The sequence below is a fragment of the Homo sapiens genome, chromosome 14 (genome assembly GCF_000001405.40).
Source record: "Homo sapiens chromosome 14, GRCh38.p14 Primary Assembly".
NCBI classification, from domain to species: domain Eukaryota; kingdom Metazoa; phylum Chordata; class Mammalia; order Primates; family Hominidae; genus Homo; species Homo sapiens.
Window position 1 is genome coordinate 106,797,895 of NC_000014.9, and position 18,728 is coordinate 106,816,622.

The following is an 18,728-nucleotide window of genomic DNA, read 5'->3' on the forward strand; positions in this document are numbered from 1 at the left end:
GGATCTAATTAAACTAAAGAGCTTCTGCACAGCAAAAGAAACTACCAACAGAGTGAACAAGCAACCTAACGAATGGGAGAAAATGTTTGCAATCTACTCATCTGACAAAGGGCTAATGTCCAGAATCTACAATGAACTCAAACAAATTTACAAGAAAAAAACAAACAACCCCATCAAAAAGTGGGTGAAGGATATGAACAGACACTTCTCGAAAGAAGACATTTATGCAGTCAACAGACACATGAAAAACTGCTCATCATCACTCGCCATCAGAGAAATGCAAATCAAAACCACAATGAGATACCATCTCACACCAGCTAGAATGGCGATCATTAAAAAGTCAGGAAACAACATGTGCTGGAGAGGTTGTAGTTCTTCTTGTAGAGATCTTTCACCTCCTTGGTTAGCTGTATTCCTAGGTATTTCTTTTTTTGTAGATGTTGTAAGTGGGATCGTGTCATTTATTTTTCTCTATGCCTGGATGTCGTTGGTGTATAAAAAAGCTACTGATTTTCGTATATTTATTCTGTATCCTGAAACATTACTAAAGTTGTTTATCAATTCTAGGATTCTTTTGGCAGAGTCTATAGAATTTTCTATGCATAGGATCCTATCAACAGCAAAAATAGATAGTTTGAATTCTTATTTACTTGTGGGGATGCCTTTTATTTCTTTCTCTTGTTTGATTTCTCTGGCTAGAACATCCACTACTATGTTGAATAGGAGTGGTGAGAGTGGGTATTCTTGTTTTGTTCCAGTTATGAAGGGGAATGATTTGAGCTTTTGTTGATTCAGTATGGTGTCAGTTGTGGGTTTGTCATACATGGCTCTTATCATTTTAAGCTAAGTTTCTTTGATGTCTAGTCTGTTGAAGGTTTTTATCATGAAGAATGTTGAATCTTATTGAAAGTTTCTCTGGATCTATTGAGATAATTATATAGTTTTTGCTTTTGATTCTGCTTATGTGGTGGAGCACCTTTATTGATTTGTGTATGTTGAACTAGCCTTGCATGAAAGGAGTAAAATCTACTGGATCATAATGTAATAACTTTTTAATGTGCTGCTATATTCAATTTCCTAGTATTTTCTTGAAGATTTTTAGGTCTATCATCAGGAATATTGGTCTAAGATTTTCCTCTTTTGTGTATCTCCCAGATTTTTTGTTCCAAGGACACACAATAAGGAAAAGATTGCCTTTTTAACAAATGGTGTAAAAACTGAGCATCCATATGCAGAAAAAAATGAGACCTCATCTCATCTCATATACAAAAATCACCTAAAAATGTACTCAAGGCTTGGATATAATATGATATCTAAAATTGTAAACTCATAGAAGAAAACAGGGAAAAAAGAAGCTTTCCAGAGTTGATCTGGAAAATGATTTATTTGGATTCGACACCAAAATCATAGACAAATAAATTACTTGAAGCTATATATCTGACAAAGGGATCTATCTAAATGTGTAAAGAACCCATACAATAGCAAAAAAAACCCCTGATTTTTAAGAGGGCAAAACTGTACATAGACATTGTATTCAAGGGAAGACATATGCATGGCCAGCAGGACATGGAAAGGTGTTCCACATTGCTAATCATCAGGGGAATCCAAATCAAAACCACAATGAGATATCACCTCACGTTCATTACCATGACTATTATCACAGACACAAAAGATAACAAAATGCTGACAGTTAGCTGGTGAAAAGAGAATTATTCAGTGGAGTGGTAGTAAAAGTTATTTTATAAATTGAAAGTAAAACTATTACGTGATCTGGTGATCCCACTTCTGGCTGCGTATTCAAAGGAAATAAAATCAGTAAGTAAAAAATATGTTTATTACAAGATTATTCATAATGGCCTAGAATTTTTTTAAAGTTAGTGACCGTAGGTAAATGGGTGTATAAAGCAAATGTATACACATACAATGGAATATTATGTGACCTCTAAAAATAAGGAAATTATAACATTTCCAACAACATGGATGGGCCTGGAGAACATTATGCTAAGTGGAATAAGCCAGACACAGAAAGACAAATGCTGCATTATCTCATTTATATGGGGAATCTAAAATATTCAAATTCTTAGAAGCAGAGAGTAGAAAAGTGGTTCCCAGGGCTGGGAGGAGTGGAAATAGAATGATTCTTGTCAAGGGCATAAAGTTTCAGTTGTGCAGGTTGAATGGGTTCTGGAGGTCTAATGTAAAGCAATGGGACTATAGCTATCAACACTGTATTGCAAACTTGATCTCTGGTAAAGGGATAGATCTCAGGTGCTCTCATTGGACACACACATATAAATTAAAGGAAGAAAATGGCAAATGTAGGGTAACAGACATGCTAACTCCTTGGTCATAGTGAAAATTTCACAATTTATACCAAAATATCAAGTGGTGCACCTCAAATATATACAATTTTATTGTCAATTATAGTTCCATAAAGCTGAACAAATGAAGTTTACTTTTATGATGAAGAAATGGATATTTCCACATACTTTCTCAATAAAAATGAGAAAAGGTAAATAGAAAAACAAAAAATATGTGCAGCAGCTTTGCTTATGATGTTAATAAACCAGAAACAAATTAAAAGTGCATTGACAGGGAAATGGATCAGCTTACTGTCGTTTATTGTTAAATGCACTGACTCAAGTATAAAATTTCTCCCTCTCTCTCTCTCCCTCTCTCTTTATCCATATATATCAAAACTTTGAGATTTTATATCAGAGGCAGTCTGTTAAGTGAATAAATGACAATATACAGATGCAATTTTACATATGAAATAGCATAAATAAACGTCAAAAATAACAAAAGTAGCCCCTTACCAGAAAAGGGGTCTATAATGTTTGAATCCATTTATATGAAAATCAAAACATGAACAGTGAATCTACAGTGGCAGAAATCAAAACATTGTGTTAAATGTGGGAGCTGACTGGAAGCACAGAGAAGGTCGCTTGTGCTGGGGGAATGGGCCTCCTCTACATCCAACCTTGGCTGTTGGGGACAAGTGTGTTTACATTTGCCAGAAATCCTGTAATGGTACATTGCAGATCTATGCATTATTACTTATATTGAAATTACATCTCATGAAAATAAAAAATTTAAAAAATTATGTAAGAAAGTTTCAAATTCAATAAACAATGCAAATAATAAAATCATACTGAAAATGTGAACAATATAATATGAATTAATAAAATATACTAAACGATACCTGCTAGAATTAAATCCCAGAAATCAGAAAGATAAGGGTGACATCTGATAATAATAAGTTAATAAACACGTGTTTCATAGAGAAAACAAACTGGTCAAAAATATGTGGAATATGTATTTTGTTATTATCAAAAGTCGTTAAATAATTGAGATAATATTTTAACCTGTGTTATTAGTATTAATTATAGATATCATGTGTAAAATAATAACTGAGAACAACCTTTAGGGAAATAAGGATATTTGAGAGCACGTGTACGAAGTTAAATATAGTCTCAATGTTTTTCCAGATATTACTGCTGAAATTTCAAATTTTATCCTGGATTTCTAACAGAATCCTTACAGGCCCTTGGACAAATTAATTGTCAGAAACGACTTAGAAAAACAATCTCTAATATAGAGATATTGGTATCTCATTTCATAAAGAAATTTAAACTGTGTAATACATGTAAAGTCCTCAGAAGAAACCTTAGTACGTTGGAAAGGACTTACTCATAGTAGGTTGTGATGTTTATTGCTAAAATTATTACCTTGATTTTTGGGGGGAAAATTAAAGCAAAGCGTGATGAATTAAAGTGTGATGTTGCTTGTTTGGTACAACAAGGGGGTGAGGATAATGAAGAGCCCTGCGATCCCGAGGAGATGGCCTAATCCAAGGAGAGGGAGGCTCCAGGTCGTGTGGACTCTCACAGGGTGCCTGCTTCTGGCCTTCATGGAGCCCGTCTCAGAAGCCTGCGGGAGGCAGGCGTATGGATGGGTTTATCAGGACAATCCAATCAGCCATGGACAGGGGAAAAAAAGATTATGACCCAGGATGGATTAAATAACTGTCTTGAAAATTGACAAATTACGACTGTATCTATTTATGAGGTACAAAGCAATGTTTTGATATATTAATACAATATGGAATAATTAAATATAACTAATTAGCATATTAATCACCTCAAAATCTTTTCATTATTAGCATCAAGGCCATTTGAAATGTATCGTAGCTATTTTGAAATGACCAATATATTATGTTTCAGTAAAGAAATAGATATTAATTAATATAAACAATATAAAATTATTGAAATCAATTATGCATTACTCTGATAATTTATATTTAGTTCATCAGTAAGTTTGATCGTTTAGGATATATTTTAAAAATTATCTTATTATAATGTTAAATATAAGTCACTATACATTTATGCACAGGTTTGTGGCATTTAGACCTACGTCTACAGGTGTAAATTTATGCTCTCATAGCTATGTAGTTGCTCATAGCAATAGATGTTAATGAAACTCTGGAAGAATAACTGCAAATGAAAGTAAACAGTTTTAAAAAATAACACTACATAAAAGGTTTAAAATTATTAAAACTTAAATACCAATGATAATAAATACATACTAATAACTGTATGAAAATGTAGCAACCTGTAAGACTCCAGAGTTCTGAAAACACAAACCTGACTTCTCCAGCTGAGGAGAAAGAAAACCTACCGCTGCACCTGTTCCTGGGACCTGTCCCGCCCTCAGTGAGTCCCGAGCGCCCCCTGGTAGCCCCGCGCGCCCCTGCAGGGAGGTTTGTGTCCGGGCTCACACTGACCTCCCCTCACTGTGTGTCTAGTACAGTAATACACGGCCGTGTCCTCGGTTTTCAGGCTGTTCATTTGCAGATACGCCGTGTTCTTTGAATCATCTCTGGAGATGGTGAACCTGCCTTTCACCGACGCAGCATATGCTGTCGCGTAACTGTTAGCTTTGCTTCTAATACGGCCAACCCACTCCAGCCCTTTCCCGGAAGCCTGGCGGACCCAGTGCATAGCAGAGCCACTGAAGGTGAACCCAGAGGCTGCACAGGAGAGTTTCAGGGACCCCCCAGGCTGGACCAAGCCTCCCCCGGACTCCACCAGCTGCACCTCACACTGGACACCTGCAAACACAGAGACACCCTGGTCAGAAAGTGCCACACACGTCCACTGTTTCTCTCACTCATGTCCACTCACACTCAGTATCTCTAGTTCCCCATGAATCACCTTTTAAAATAGCAACAAGGAAAACCCAGCTCAGCCCAAACTCCATGGTGAGTCTCCTGTATTCAGTGCCGATCACCGAGTGGAGACAGCTGGGAATCCCAAGGCTGGAGCTCCTCTCCCAGAGCTGCAGGGTCAGGGCTGGGCTGCTTTTCATCAGCAAAAAGGGGGGTCTTATTTGCATGTCTTCTGCTACATAGCAAGGTCTGGGCTGGGACGCCTGACGAGAAGGCTGTGCACAGAGTAGATGAGGGTGTCCTGGGGGGTGATTGGTAGTAATCCTATCATTCAGGAAAATTTAATTTCATATTATGTGATTGTGTCTTGATATTCATTTAGGAGTAATCATCTTATTGCATTTTTTACATATTTGCACACTGTATTTCCCCTTATATTTTCTGAAGTCCCTTGGCTTGTCTGTTTGAGTGATGTCTCTTTCCTCGACACTGTGAAGGGTATGATGTCATCGTTCACAGGTGCAGTCCTGGATGTACACGCAGTTTCCACGGAAATGCTGTCATTTGGCAGTGTTGCCTTCGACAGCCTAATTACCTGATTGTTCTACTTGACCATTTGTGTCTCTTAACAAACCATGTAGATGTTACACTGTGCTCATTTCTGACATGTGACACTGTTTTGTAGCATAAATCGTTCAACAATCTGGTGCAATTAAATTTGGGCTTCTTTCCGGGGACCATTTTTGAGGATTGTTCTGACCCCAAAATAGCACTGATTTTTTTCAAGAAATTAAGTCTAGCTATGTTTCCAGGCTGCGCTTGAAATCCTGGGCTCAAGTGATCCTCTCACCTCAAACTCCCAAGTAAATTCAACTGCAGGCAGAGCCACAGTGCCCAGCTGGTTATTCTTAAATTATAGGTTTTCTAATTCTCTCTGTTAAAATGAGTGGACTATTGATTTCTATATTGCTGTCATGGAGCTGTCAGGTTTCTATTAATTACTTACCATGAAAACCACTAACATTTTAGATGAACTTTAGGGTTGAAACTATTCTCATTCTACTGCAAATCTGGTCACGCCCTTTAGAGAGAGCTTTCTATCACTGTTTTTATGCCCTGACTGTATCACTAGAAAAACATGCCAGTCTCTACCTTGGTGCAGAAGAAAGGGTTCAAGCAGCTCAGAAGGACACTCCTGCTTTAAGTACAGAAAACTGCATGGAAGTGATGGACTTGTATGATCTCACTGTTCCTCTCCCAGGAAGCTCCCAGAACCTCTGCCCTACAAGTGAGCTGGGGTGAGAATAATCGGGGTCCACCTGTTCTTGGTCTATAACACCTGACATGGAAACTATGTCTTGTGAGTGAGGCTGGGAGGAGAAAGGCATCCATCAAATCACAGGCAGGAATTTAGTCTCCACCATAAAGATCTGACATCATGACCTCAACTGAGATCTGGGGGAGAGGGAAGCACCACCTTCTTGTCAGTTCAGCCCAAGGTCAAGATTCTGTGATCCTGAGATGTAAAGAAGAGGTAATGCTCTTCTCTCAAGTATTGTGATCCTCACTGCACTTGCTAAGACTGTTTGAGTTGCTATAAGAGGATATCATGGACTGGGTGGCTCAGAAATAACATAAATGCATTTGTCCCAATTTTCAAGGCTGGGAAGTTCAAGATAAAGATGACTTAAAGATTGGTATCTGGTGATGTCCCAATTCTTTATTTATAGATTGCCACCTTCCTACTGTGACCACACCTGGTGGAAGGAAAGAGGGAGCTCTCTGGGGTATTGTATCAGGACGCTGATTCCATTCATGAAACGGAGCCTCAACACCTTTCAAAGGAGACCAAAGGCCCCACCTCCTGCCACCGTCACGATGGAGTTGAGATTCCAACATATGCCTTGTGGGGGGTCATAACCCTTCAGTCAACAGGAGGACTTTATGTCAGTCAATGGATTTCATTTACTGTGTGTTCTCAGAATAATTTTCCTTGATAGTACAGGTTGGGTTTCTATAATTTTTACCAGATTAGGTTGTCTCTTTGGAAATCTTGAAGTTTCTCACACCATCACACTGGTAATGAGATAACTCTATTTATATTCGTGATTGAAGCTTCCTCATTAGGGCCATAAGCATTTGGAATGTTCTTCTCTTAAATCATTTGCCGTGATGGAATAAACTTGTCCCCCCTCATCAGTATTATCATTTGTTCAGAAATACACTTTTTATATTTTAATATTGCAAATCCACCTTTCCTTTATCTTTCTTTAACATGGTGTCTTTCTTTATGTTTTAAAATTTGTAACTGATTATGTTTAAATTTTAGGGTAATTTTAGATTTTAAGGCAAGCCCCCTAGAGTAAGGTGTGTTCTCATGTACAACTTTCCAGGGTTCCCATACACTGATCCACACTCTACCAAGGCTGGGTCTCTCTCCGGCCATCTACGGGGCTCACTCTCTGAACAGTGTTCTGCTATCCACTGTCTAGTCTGTGATCTCCACACTTCTTGGCCTGTCTGGGATCTCAGCTCCTTTTCCTCAACTTCAAATCTACCTGGTTCCTCTTCAGCACTGTGGCCTGGAAACTCTCTTTAAAAAGTAGCAAAGCATGCGTTCATCAGAGGGCTCCTTTTGTATATTTTCCCCACCTCAGCAATCACTGTCCTTGTTATTTGATGTAAAATACCTTAAAATCATGTTTAAAAAATTTCACTGTGTTTTACAGTTATTTCTGGTGGAAAGATACATCTGGTCTCTGTTGTTAAAACTTTTTTGAAATGATCATCTTGAACATAAATATTAGAGTCAATTTTATAATGTTCACCAAGATTTATCTTGGAATATATATATATATATATATATATATATATATTCAATTCTCAATTCCAGGAGACATCCCTGTAGGGATACATTATAAAGCTTATATATTTACATATTTGGTAGACTTAATATTATATCTAATTTTTAAAATAGTCAAAATACCTATATTTGTCACACAAGAAAGCACAAGTTCTACGATGCCCTAATAGAAAAACTTATTTGTCTTTCTATGGGTTCTTCCCAAGGAAATAGAGGGAGACATCTTAGGACACTGATCCAGGGGTGACTTCAGAGACCCTGCCCAGAATATGACCCAGGAGGGATGTGAGAGATTTCCATCTCTGTGATTGGCATTCTGTCTCCTTCACAGGAAAATCTGGGATCTTCCTCCATCCCTGGGGTGGACTACTTCACCATTCTAGACACTGAGGGACAGACAGGGTGTGGCAGGTCACAGACATCAAAGGCCACAGTGTGGATGAGGATCGAGGTGCTAACTTGCCCCAGTGATAATAGAGATCCCCATGGGGCAAAGTCCCAGCAGATGATCCCAACCATGTGGGGATATGTGTGCCTGTCTGAGAGAAGCATCCACATGGGGACAGTGTGTGCCTGTCTGAGAATGAAGGCTCATTCATGAAGGTGTCTACCTAGACTGAGATTGTGTTTGGGGAAAATTTTTCTCACTCAGGAGATGAGAAACTTGAGTGATTTGTTTTTGGAAAAGAAAAATAGATCATGTAGAAACCCCATGTAGGAAGAGTCACTGGATAATATTTGTCAAAACACAGTTCATTTAGAAGGAATTTCCTGTTCATGTCCTTTGCAGGGACATTGATGAAGCTGGAAACCATCATTCTCAGCAAACTAACACAGGAACAGAAAACCAAACACTGCATGTTCTCACTCATAAGTGGGAGTTGAAGAATGAGAACACATGGACACAGGGAGGGGAACATCACACACTGGGGCCTGTTGGGGGGTGGGGGGCTAGGGGAGGGATAGCATTAGGAGTAATACCTAATGTCGATGACGGGTTGATGAGTGCAGCAAACCACCATGGCACTTGTATACCTATGTAACAAACATGCACATTCTGCACATGTACCCCAGAACTTAAAGTATGATAAAAAAGGACATTCCTATCTAAGAAGGAAAGCAATGTCTCCTTATAGCCTAAATACTGCCATAACTTGTCCTAGGCCACTTACAACATGAATATTGATATGCTTTATAGATTAACTGGATACCAAAGATAATGGTGCCATTTATTTTTCTGATACTTCACTAATACTTTATTATTTGAACAGTCCTCACTTAGAGACCTTTTCATTAAAATGTAATTTTTAATTGAATAAGCACTTCTACCATGAGACAAACTGTCTTCCTGGTGACTAAATATCCATCTCGATTTTGATATAATGCCCATGATGTTGACGATTAAGTTGGCATTCTCAGAAAAAATTGACCCAGGTTCAAGGGGCTAACTGCAAATTCATATTTATGTCTGTTTTGCTTCAAGACAAGAAGGACGTGAGTTACAGACAACCTAGTGGGTGGTCTCCTGAGGGCTCCATGCTGTGAAGGAAAAGAAGGCAACCCTAGATGGTGGTCAGAGGTTCCCTGGCTGGTTCCTCTCCGCACCTGCTCTTCCCTGGGGTTCTGCCTTGGGTGAGTTCTGAGCATCTCCTGCTGGTCCTGTGCTGCCCATGAAGTCCAGGTAAAGGAAATCTTGGAGATCTTCTTCTGAGATGCCAAGTTGTATGTCTGGTTCCTGGAAAATAGCACAGTAACGCTGGGAGCTGCACCTTGGATATCACCCATGTGACCTGGCCTGTGTAGTGAGCTTCCTCCAAGCCCAGAGACGGGATTGGCTGGGTGGCTCTCCCTTCAGACATTACTGGAGGCAATTTTCTGCAAATCTAATTGTAGTTTCACTATACAATTCAGCAATCATGTTTTTACTAATGTACTTAACTGACTATGTCCACTCAGTGAACCACACATGGCTGTTCATTTATATTTCCCAAATACTGGGCACATTAAAAAACATCCTGAGTAGTTCAGCAAATTATAGGATTTGAATCAGGAAACTAGGTGGTAACATTTTCTATAACCAAACTTATGAACAAAAAAGATAAGAAAATGAGGTCGCAAAAATAGAGCTTGCATTATTACCTGGAATCTGGTAGTGGTAATTTACATAATGGAGCTGCAGTGAGAAAGGTTACCAGGTGACCTCATTCTGAACCCGTCTTTAGAGCTGACCAGCAATCACCAGGAGTGGGGCAGCCCATAATTCCCCCACATAGAAAGACACCCCAACTCAATAAAACTGCACTTGGGGTCTCTGCAGCCTCTGAGGTGTGCAGGAGCAGCTCCCACCCCAAAGTTTGCAGTCAGTCAAGTCTCCACTCTTTCCCTTGGGGCATGAGAGATAGTGTAGATGAGGTCCAGACATGCTCTACTCAAGGTCTCTGCACATGGCTAAAAAGGCAGGTGTGAAATTCATGTCCTCAATCCATGAAACAATACCCATGAAAAATGTAACTCTGTTCCAGGACATCATGCAGAATGAAGAAATAATGCAATTGTGGTAAATTTGGAAATTACAATTGTTTGTGGACTGCACATTTTTTCATATGCCTTCCAATAAATCAGGTGAAAACGTGTATTCTGTATAAAAATCCACAGTGTGTTAGCTCTGGGAATGCACCTTCCTCTCTCCACCTACAGGCAGAACAGTGCACTTGGATCATGCACCCAGCTCCTGCTCTCTGACGTCCATGACGTGGCTCATGCTAAATCCCATATCCTGTGCTCCTTTCTCAGGAATAGAGTGAGCCTTGCACTCATCTGGGGCAGAGTCATTGCTGGGAGTGATGGGGGTTTCCTGAGGGGCAACTTTGACTTGCAGGAGACTCAGTGATAATCTGGAGTTTCTTTGCACAGCACAGAAATGTAGGAAAGTTCCACCCAATCCTGCCTCCCTCTCTCCTTCACTCAGGGACAGGCTTCCATCATATGCCATCAGCTTCCCAGCCTCATTTACCCTCCATGCATTTTCCCTCAAAAGGGTGGATGCCCTCCTTCGACCAATGCATGCACACTTAATCGGCTAATGGAGATTTATGCTCAGAAGACCAATAATAATATACATATATTTGCAAAATTATTTATAACATGAGTCTGATTCTATTGTCAAATATAAAATATTAATTAATATTAAATCAATATTGCATTGATTAATATTAGTATTAAAATATTAATCAATATAAAATATTAATCATGGTAATAATTGATTTTGTGTGTCACCTTGACTAGGACATAGTCTCAATTATTCAATCAAACACTAATCTAGGTGTTGCTCTGATGTATAATACAGGTGTTATTAAAGCCTGTCATCACTTCTCTAGGTCAGGAAGATTGTCCTAGATGAACTTGGTCGGTCTGGTTTAATCCTAGCAGAGGAGAAGACAATGGAACTCTATGGTAGACAGCAGCTGTAGGACTTCCCAGGAATTCCGTCCTGTCTTTCCTTTTGGCCAGCTCCATTGGCTCTGGCTGTGCCCACCCAGACCTCACGATTGCCATCATGCAGAGCTCACAGCCCAATAAAGTGTCCATCCTCAGCTCTCCCAAAAATCCACAAGTGAGAGTGGGGGCTCTGTGACAGGGTGAGAAGCACAAGATCAGCTCTACAACAGTATCCCATTTGAGGAAACGACTATGAGTGTCCACTTGCATTTCCCAAATGCATCCACGCATAGAAGACAGCAGGGGCATGCAGGCACCAGGGAATGAGAAAGATCCCTCAGCCTGCCAGGTCCACAGGAGCCATAGCCAGAGCCACACCTGAGTTCCAGGTAATGCATCTGAGGCCTGTGGTTTAGACCACAGGAAGCACACCCTCCATTTTCAGAATGAAGGTGAAAAGGGAAGTGTAAGAATGAAGCCTAGAGAAAAGGAAAATGGATTACAGAGAAAGGACCAAATGGGTCAGTTCTGAGTTAGATGTTCAGTTTTAAAGGACGATGGGGTTACTGTGAAAACTGTCAGGATTCTAAGGACCCTGGCCCTGGGTGAGCCTCCCTCTTGGTCCCAATCTGAATCCCAAAGCCTGTTCCAATCAGAGATTCCCACGGAGACGCCTGCCCTGAGTCTGATTGAAAAACACTTCCCAGGTCCTCCTGGGCTTCCTCGGGACTCTGATTCTGGTGACCAGGGCAGGGTCATTTCTGTCCCCAAAGTGACACTCGGGCTTCTGTGGAGGTGAGAATGTGTCCTCTTGTCACAAAAACAAAGACACACCAGGGAAGGAAAGTGTCACATTCAGAGACATTAAACGTAAGTACAGAATTGTAAATCTGAAAGGTTCTCTGAGGAAACTTGATGAATCAGCCCCAGATGCTGAGAGAAAATCAGCCTTTAGCACCACCAGCCGCTGCCACGGAGAGCAGCCCAGTTCACAGGGCCCAGGACACCCCCTCGTGGTCTCAGATGCCCCTGCAGCGAGGTTTGTGTCTGGGCTCACATTGACTTCCCCTCACTGTGTCTCTTGCACAGTAATACACAGCCGTGTCCTCGGCTCTCAGACTGTTCATTTGCAGATACAGCGTGTTCTTGGCGTTGTCTCTGGAGATGGTGAATCGGCCCTTCACGGAGTCCGCGTAGCTTGTGCTACTCCCATCACTATTAATACGTGAGACCCACACCAGCCCCTTCCCTGGAGCTTGGCGGACCCAGTGCATCCAGTAGCTACTGAAGGTGAATCCAGAGGCTGCACAGGAGAGTCTCAGGGACCCCCCAGGCTGAACTAAGCCTCCCCCGGACTCCACCAGCTGCACCTCACACTGGACACCTGCAAACACAGAGACACCCTGGTCAGAAACTGCCACACACATCCACTGCTTATCTCACTCATGTCCATTCACACTCCATATCTCCAGTTCTCCATGAATCACCTTTTAAAATAGCAACAAGGAAAACCCAGCTCAGCCCAAACTCCATGGTGAGTTCTCTGTGTGCAGTCCTGATCAGCAAGCAGAAACAGCTGGGAATCCCAGGGCTGGGGCTCCTCTCCCAGAGCTGCAGGGCTGGTTTTCTTCAGCAGAGTGAGGGCCCTATTTGCATGTCTCCTACTATATATCAAGCTCTGGGGTGAGACACCTGAAGAAAGAGCAGGACCCAGGGCAGATGAAAGTGTCCTGAGGAAGATGGGTGACAACAATGGGATTTGAGAAATTGTGCTTATTATGAAACTGTGCTGTGATAAAATCTTCACACTGATCACCTTATTTCAGATTTACCTATGTGTGTAAATTATGTTCTGTAAGAGTCAATGTTCTCTACTTACAGATGTAAGATAAATCCACACATGGATGGGCTCTCTGTGTATCTAAGAGCTCATGTCTGGGATGAGTGAGTTCTGGTATCTGGGCCTGCACTTCTCACCACTGGCCCTGACTCCTCCCTTAGCCAACTCCAGGACACAGCCGGCCAGGCCTAGTGTGGTTTGCAGAAGCCACTGCCTAATCAGAATATGGATGATTTTCCTGCACTCTCCTGTTTACCTTAAACTATGGAGAGAACTAGGGTTCAGGTAGATAAACTTTCAGGTATCTCTGACATTCAACATACTCATATCTATCTTTCTGTCACTCCTACATTGTCTAATTTTCAACTTGTTTCCTCATAATACATTTTATAAGATTTGATTGACAGATTATAAACTTTACATATTTAAAGTGTAAAACTGATAATCATGGCATAACTATTACCATTATAAGGAAGGTGGACAAGTGAAATTCCCTCAACTTCTTTTCTGTCCTTCTACTTCCTATTTCTATTTCCTTATCCTTTCTCCTTCCCTTCTGCCAACATATTCCCAGGAAACTACTAATCTTCTTTATATTACTTTAGATCAGTTTTCATTTTCCAGAATTTTTAAAAATAGAATCATACATACTCTTATTTGTTTGGCTTATTTTACTCAATTTAAATACTTGATAATTTTATCTTCTTATTTTGTGTATCAGACATTCCCTTATTATGAATGATGGGTAATATTCCAGCGAACAATGTTACCATGATTTGTTTTTCTATTAGGCAGCTGATAAATATTTGGATTCTTTTATTATTTTTGGTGTTAATAAAAATTTTGTTATTCAGGTTTGAAATGTACATAGATGAGAATTTCTTTTTTTTACAACAAGAATAAAATCAACAATAACTGTTAATCAGAGAAAATGGACTTTTGCAAATTTTCTTTAATACTTCAGATCATTGAAATTTTAAGACAATCAACAAATCTGAAATCTAGAGAGAGACAAGTTTTTGTAGGGAGAATCAAAGCTAGAGTATGAGCTGAACTGGGGCAGAGTTCACCAAATGCAATAAAGGCTAGTACAAGATAAAATACACTAATATACATTGAACTGTTTTGAGTCGAGTGTGATAAGCATGTTTTTAGTGAGAAATTCTCAGGAACCACATACTGGAGAGTTTTTCTATTCTTTTGAATGCCTTTCCCTTATAATGAGAATAGTCACAAAAATCTTCCCTTCCCAAAGTGTCTGTCTGGGGTGTATCAGAGCCCACACTTCTGAAATGCTTCCAGAGCCAAGTCTCTTACACCCACTAGAGAACTAAGAAATTACTCAACAGGGGCAAACCACCAAAACCAGTATCCTAAATGCACTGGTTTAACCCCTCAGGAACTGAGATGGGAACAGAGCTCCCCAGCAAGGTTCTACTGGGAAGCAGCTCCCCTCTCTTACGGAATCAGAGCCTTAGTCTGCAGAGCAGGGCAGCAGAGCTGGAAGGTGATGACACCGATGGAGAACACTGCAGCTGTGGGAGGGAACGCCAGGGAAACAGGGGGCTCCACTCCGGGGGAAGGGGAGCTGCGGAGCAAGGCAGAAAGGAGCCCCCATGTCAAACTTCGGGGTTCCAGGGAGGGAAGTGGAAGTGGCGCCTCCTTGAAAACCCGGGCAGCGGAGCAGCCGCTGTGCCCACCCCGCCTAGGGTGCGGGGTTCCTGGGCCTTGGGAGGTTCTGTGCAGGCTGCTTGGGCCGCGTCCCCAGGGTTCAGCCGCATGTCAGGGTGACCATGGAGGCCGCCACTCCCGACTACGGGCCGGGGTCGTCATCAGCTCTGCCCGGGCCTCCCTGAGCACCGGGGCAATGCGGGGAGCTTGTGGAGATGTCACTCCTGCCCTGGACGCCGGCCAGGGCCCAGAGAGGATCAGGAGCCCCTGCCCAGGCTGCAAGGAGGGGTGGAGGGGCTGATGCTCCTCGGAGCCGGTGGGAGCCAGGAGCAGGCAGCAGCTCTCATCTCTCAGGTGCGGCTCCAGCTGCGCAAACCAGGGCAGTGGGCTCGGACTCTGTGCTCTTGGAGGTCGAGGAACAGGAAGGAGCCCTGCCTCCCCGGCTGTGGCTGCAGCCTCCCAAACTGCGGCTGAAGACACGGGCCTCTCGCTCCATGAAGCCGGCAGAAGCCCTGCTCCGCAAACCGGGGGCTGCGGCCTCAGGCGCCCCTGCACTCTTGGGGTCCCCAGGAAAAGCCCTGTGCTCTTGCATGCTCCGAAGTGCCTGCTCCCACTTCCTGGCTTCTTCCTGCTGCTGGTGCCTGCTCTGATCTTGGAGCAAAGTCAGGGCGGAGCCCCAGGGACCATGAACTACAACAGGAGGCAGGAAGATTCCTGTGCACAGGGGCGGGTCCCCAGGAAGGGCCTGAAGGCTGGGCCGGGGCTCCCAGATCCTCAGACCAGAGTCGGGACTTGTGGTGCTTCCTACGGCCCACCCATGAGCACCCATGGACCAATGGGCTTGCACTTCCTCCCCTCGGAGGTCCGTAAAAACCCCTGGCCTCAGCTGGAGCAGGACAGAGGATGGAGAGACGACAGGACGACCAGCTGCAGGGAGGAGCTACCCTCTCTCCTGAGAAATGGGAAGACCACAGGACGACCAGCTGCAGGGAGGAGCTACCCTCTCTCCTGAGAACTGGGAAGACCACAGGACGACCGGCTGCAGGGAGGAGCTACCCTCTCTGCTTAGAGCTGAACACTCAACCAGTCTACCTGCCTACAGAGAGGAGCTACTCACTGGGGGTCTCCTCTGAGATGCTCTAATGCTTAATGAAGCTAGGCTTTGTCTTGCTTACCCTCCACATGGCTGCATACTTCATTCTTTCCACATGTAGGACAAGAACTCAGGCAAAAGTGCCACTGGCCACAGAGGGTTCTGGCCAGAAAAAGCAACACCCCAGTGACTCAGAAACAACCGTAGTGAATACTGTTGGCCATGGAAACATAGTAGTAATTATTTGTGTATCTAAACATAAAGAGATATAGATAAGTAAGGAAGTATAGCACCGTGGAACCACCATCTGTTACTGGCAGAAACTTTGTTATGCAGCAAATAACTGGATTTAAATTTCTGGGGGGAAAAAGCAGCCAACCAAGAACCTAAAATTGATAAAACATCTCTTATGAAATGAAGGATAGAGAAATACTTCCCAGACAAAGGAAAACTGAGGAAATTCATCATCACTAGAATTACCTCACAAGAAATGTCAAAGGATCTCAACTAGGTACCCAGTAGATTGAAGCTCCTGTTTCAGCCCCACCCTGGCATCTACCATGTGATTGTTCTGTGTAGATTTGGTTTATGCTGTCTTAGGGTTTTTCCTCTCTTGAGTCATATCTCCCTTCCCCTCCTTATTTTCAGTCTATCACCACAATTCATATTTAGCCAAGAACAGCGGAGCCTTTGGAAGAGATTCCTATCTTTCCTTCACCAGGTCTAATGAGCTCTCTTCATGGGTGTCCATCTCTGTTTTGCTTTCTCGCATTCCCGTGGGATGATGGCCTTGTTCCTATTTCAGCCCTGCCCACATTTTCATATACATGAGCCATCCTACAACCGCCCATCCAGGAACATCTGGAGGGAATGGACCTTACCACATGCCTCATCAGCGTCCATGTGCATGGTGATCATTCCTTCAGCTTTCACACATGCTCTAGGGCTTCCCACTCAAAAGTGCCTTTCACCACCCTCCAAAACTGCAGCTCTTACACCCTCAATAACTCCGAGAGAGATTCACCTTTCTGCTCCTCTGTAACATAACACCGTGAACTGTTCCCCAGTCTCACTAAATCTATACACAAGTCACCTTGTCTTTATTTGAAGCACTTTGTGGATGGGTTCTTACACATCATGGTTCATCTTGCAGTGTTTTGTGTAGGTAAAGGTGGCAGTGAAGTCAACTGGCAGTCACACAACACCTGACTCTTGAGCCCACAGGAGCACTGACCATAACAATGGAAAATAATTAAAATATGCTGAAAATATGCTATATAACTCTGAGTGCTTAAAGAAACTGTGAACAAAAACAACAAATAAAAAGTGAGGATCATATGCAGAAAATATCTACAGAAAGGTTGTAACTGTAGTTGTGCTCATTTTATCAACAGGGTGATTTCTGAGCAACACATGAAGCTTCCAATGTGGAATCATTTTTACTGACATAACATAAAGCAACAAAATATCAGTTTTGCGGGGTGATTAGAACAAGGGAGTGACTTGTAGTATTTGAGGTAAAAAGGTAAACAGATCCTACACAACACTGGATCTTATGGCATTGTTTCCATTTAGTGTGGAATGCACAATTCAGTAGCTCTTTATCTCAACATGATTTATTTATCAGGACTCTTCTTACTATCATTGAATTATATATTATTTGAAGGAAAATAAATATTCAGGTGACAATTATTGTTTCTATAGTTCATGTCCAATTTCAATTATTTATGTTTTATGGATATTTCTTGACTATTTTATGGGAGTGAAAACATGTGGTGTTTAGCTTTCTGTTCCTGGCTCTTTCAATTAACATAGAGTCTTATATGTTACATGCAAGTTTCTATGAGTGACACAATTTAATCTTTCATGGCTGTGTAGAATTCCATTATGTACATATTCCACATCATCTTTCTCTACTCACCTTATATTGAACACTTCGGTTGATTCAATTACTTGGCTACTGTGAACAGGGCTGCAATAAACATGGGAGTGAAGAAATCTCATCAAAATATTGATTTTCCTCTTCAATATATTAATTTCCTGTCCTTGGGACAAATGTTCAGTCGTAAAATTTCTGTATCATATGATTGTTGCATTTGTGGTTTTACTAACTTCTATACGTCTCTCCATAGTGGCTGTATGAGTGTACATTCTCATCAACAGTGTATACATGTCCCATTTTATCTTCATCCACATTAGCACTATTTTTATGTATTTGAATATGGCTATTCTGTCTGGGGTGAGATAATATTTCATTGTAGTTTAAATTTGTGCTTTCCTGATTATTAGCGATGGTGAGCATTTTTTCTCAAATATTTTCTGGCATCTTGTATGTGTTTCTTTGAGAAACGTCTGCTTATTTGGGTTAATTGTCTGTTATAAAATAAGATTATTTATATTTTTGTGGTTGAGACATTTATTTTTCTGGTATATTCTGGATATTAATAGCCTGTTTAATTAATAGTTTAAAATACATTTTACCACTTTTATGTTATCTATTCAATATTTGGATTATTTTACTGTGTAAACACTGTTTAGTTTGATAAAATTTAATTCGTTTGTGTTTTATTTAGTTGACTGTACTTTTGAGGTCTTATTTATAAAATTGTTTTCCAGACAGATTTCATGAAGCATTATTTCTAAGTTTTTAAGAGCA

The 18,728-nt window shown here is 41.5% G+C and overlaps 2 gene segments (V, D, J or C) and 1 further gene; all 3 read right to left on the reverse strand.

The window, feature by feature from the left end:
* The window catches only part of IGH (immunoglobulin heavy locus), a 1,293,408-nt gene that overhangs the window by 1,211,458 nt on the left and 63,222 nt on the right, over nt 1–18,728 (reverse strand).
* Nucleotides 4,798–5,259, reverse strand: IGHV3-73 (immunoglobulin heavy variable 3-73). The segment is given in 2 exon segments: nt 4,798–5,110; nt 5,214–5,259. Coding segments are annotated over 2 exon segments (359 nt in total), but the record flags the coding sequence as incomplete, so codon positions are not given.
* Nucleotides 12,546–13,001, reverse strand: IGHV3-74 (immunoglobulin heavy variable 3-74). The segment is given in 2 exon segments: nt 12,546–12,852; nt 12,956–13,001. Coding segments are annotated over 2 exon segments (353 nt in total), but the record flags the coding sequence as incomplete, so codon positions are not given.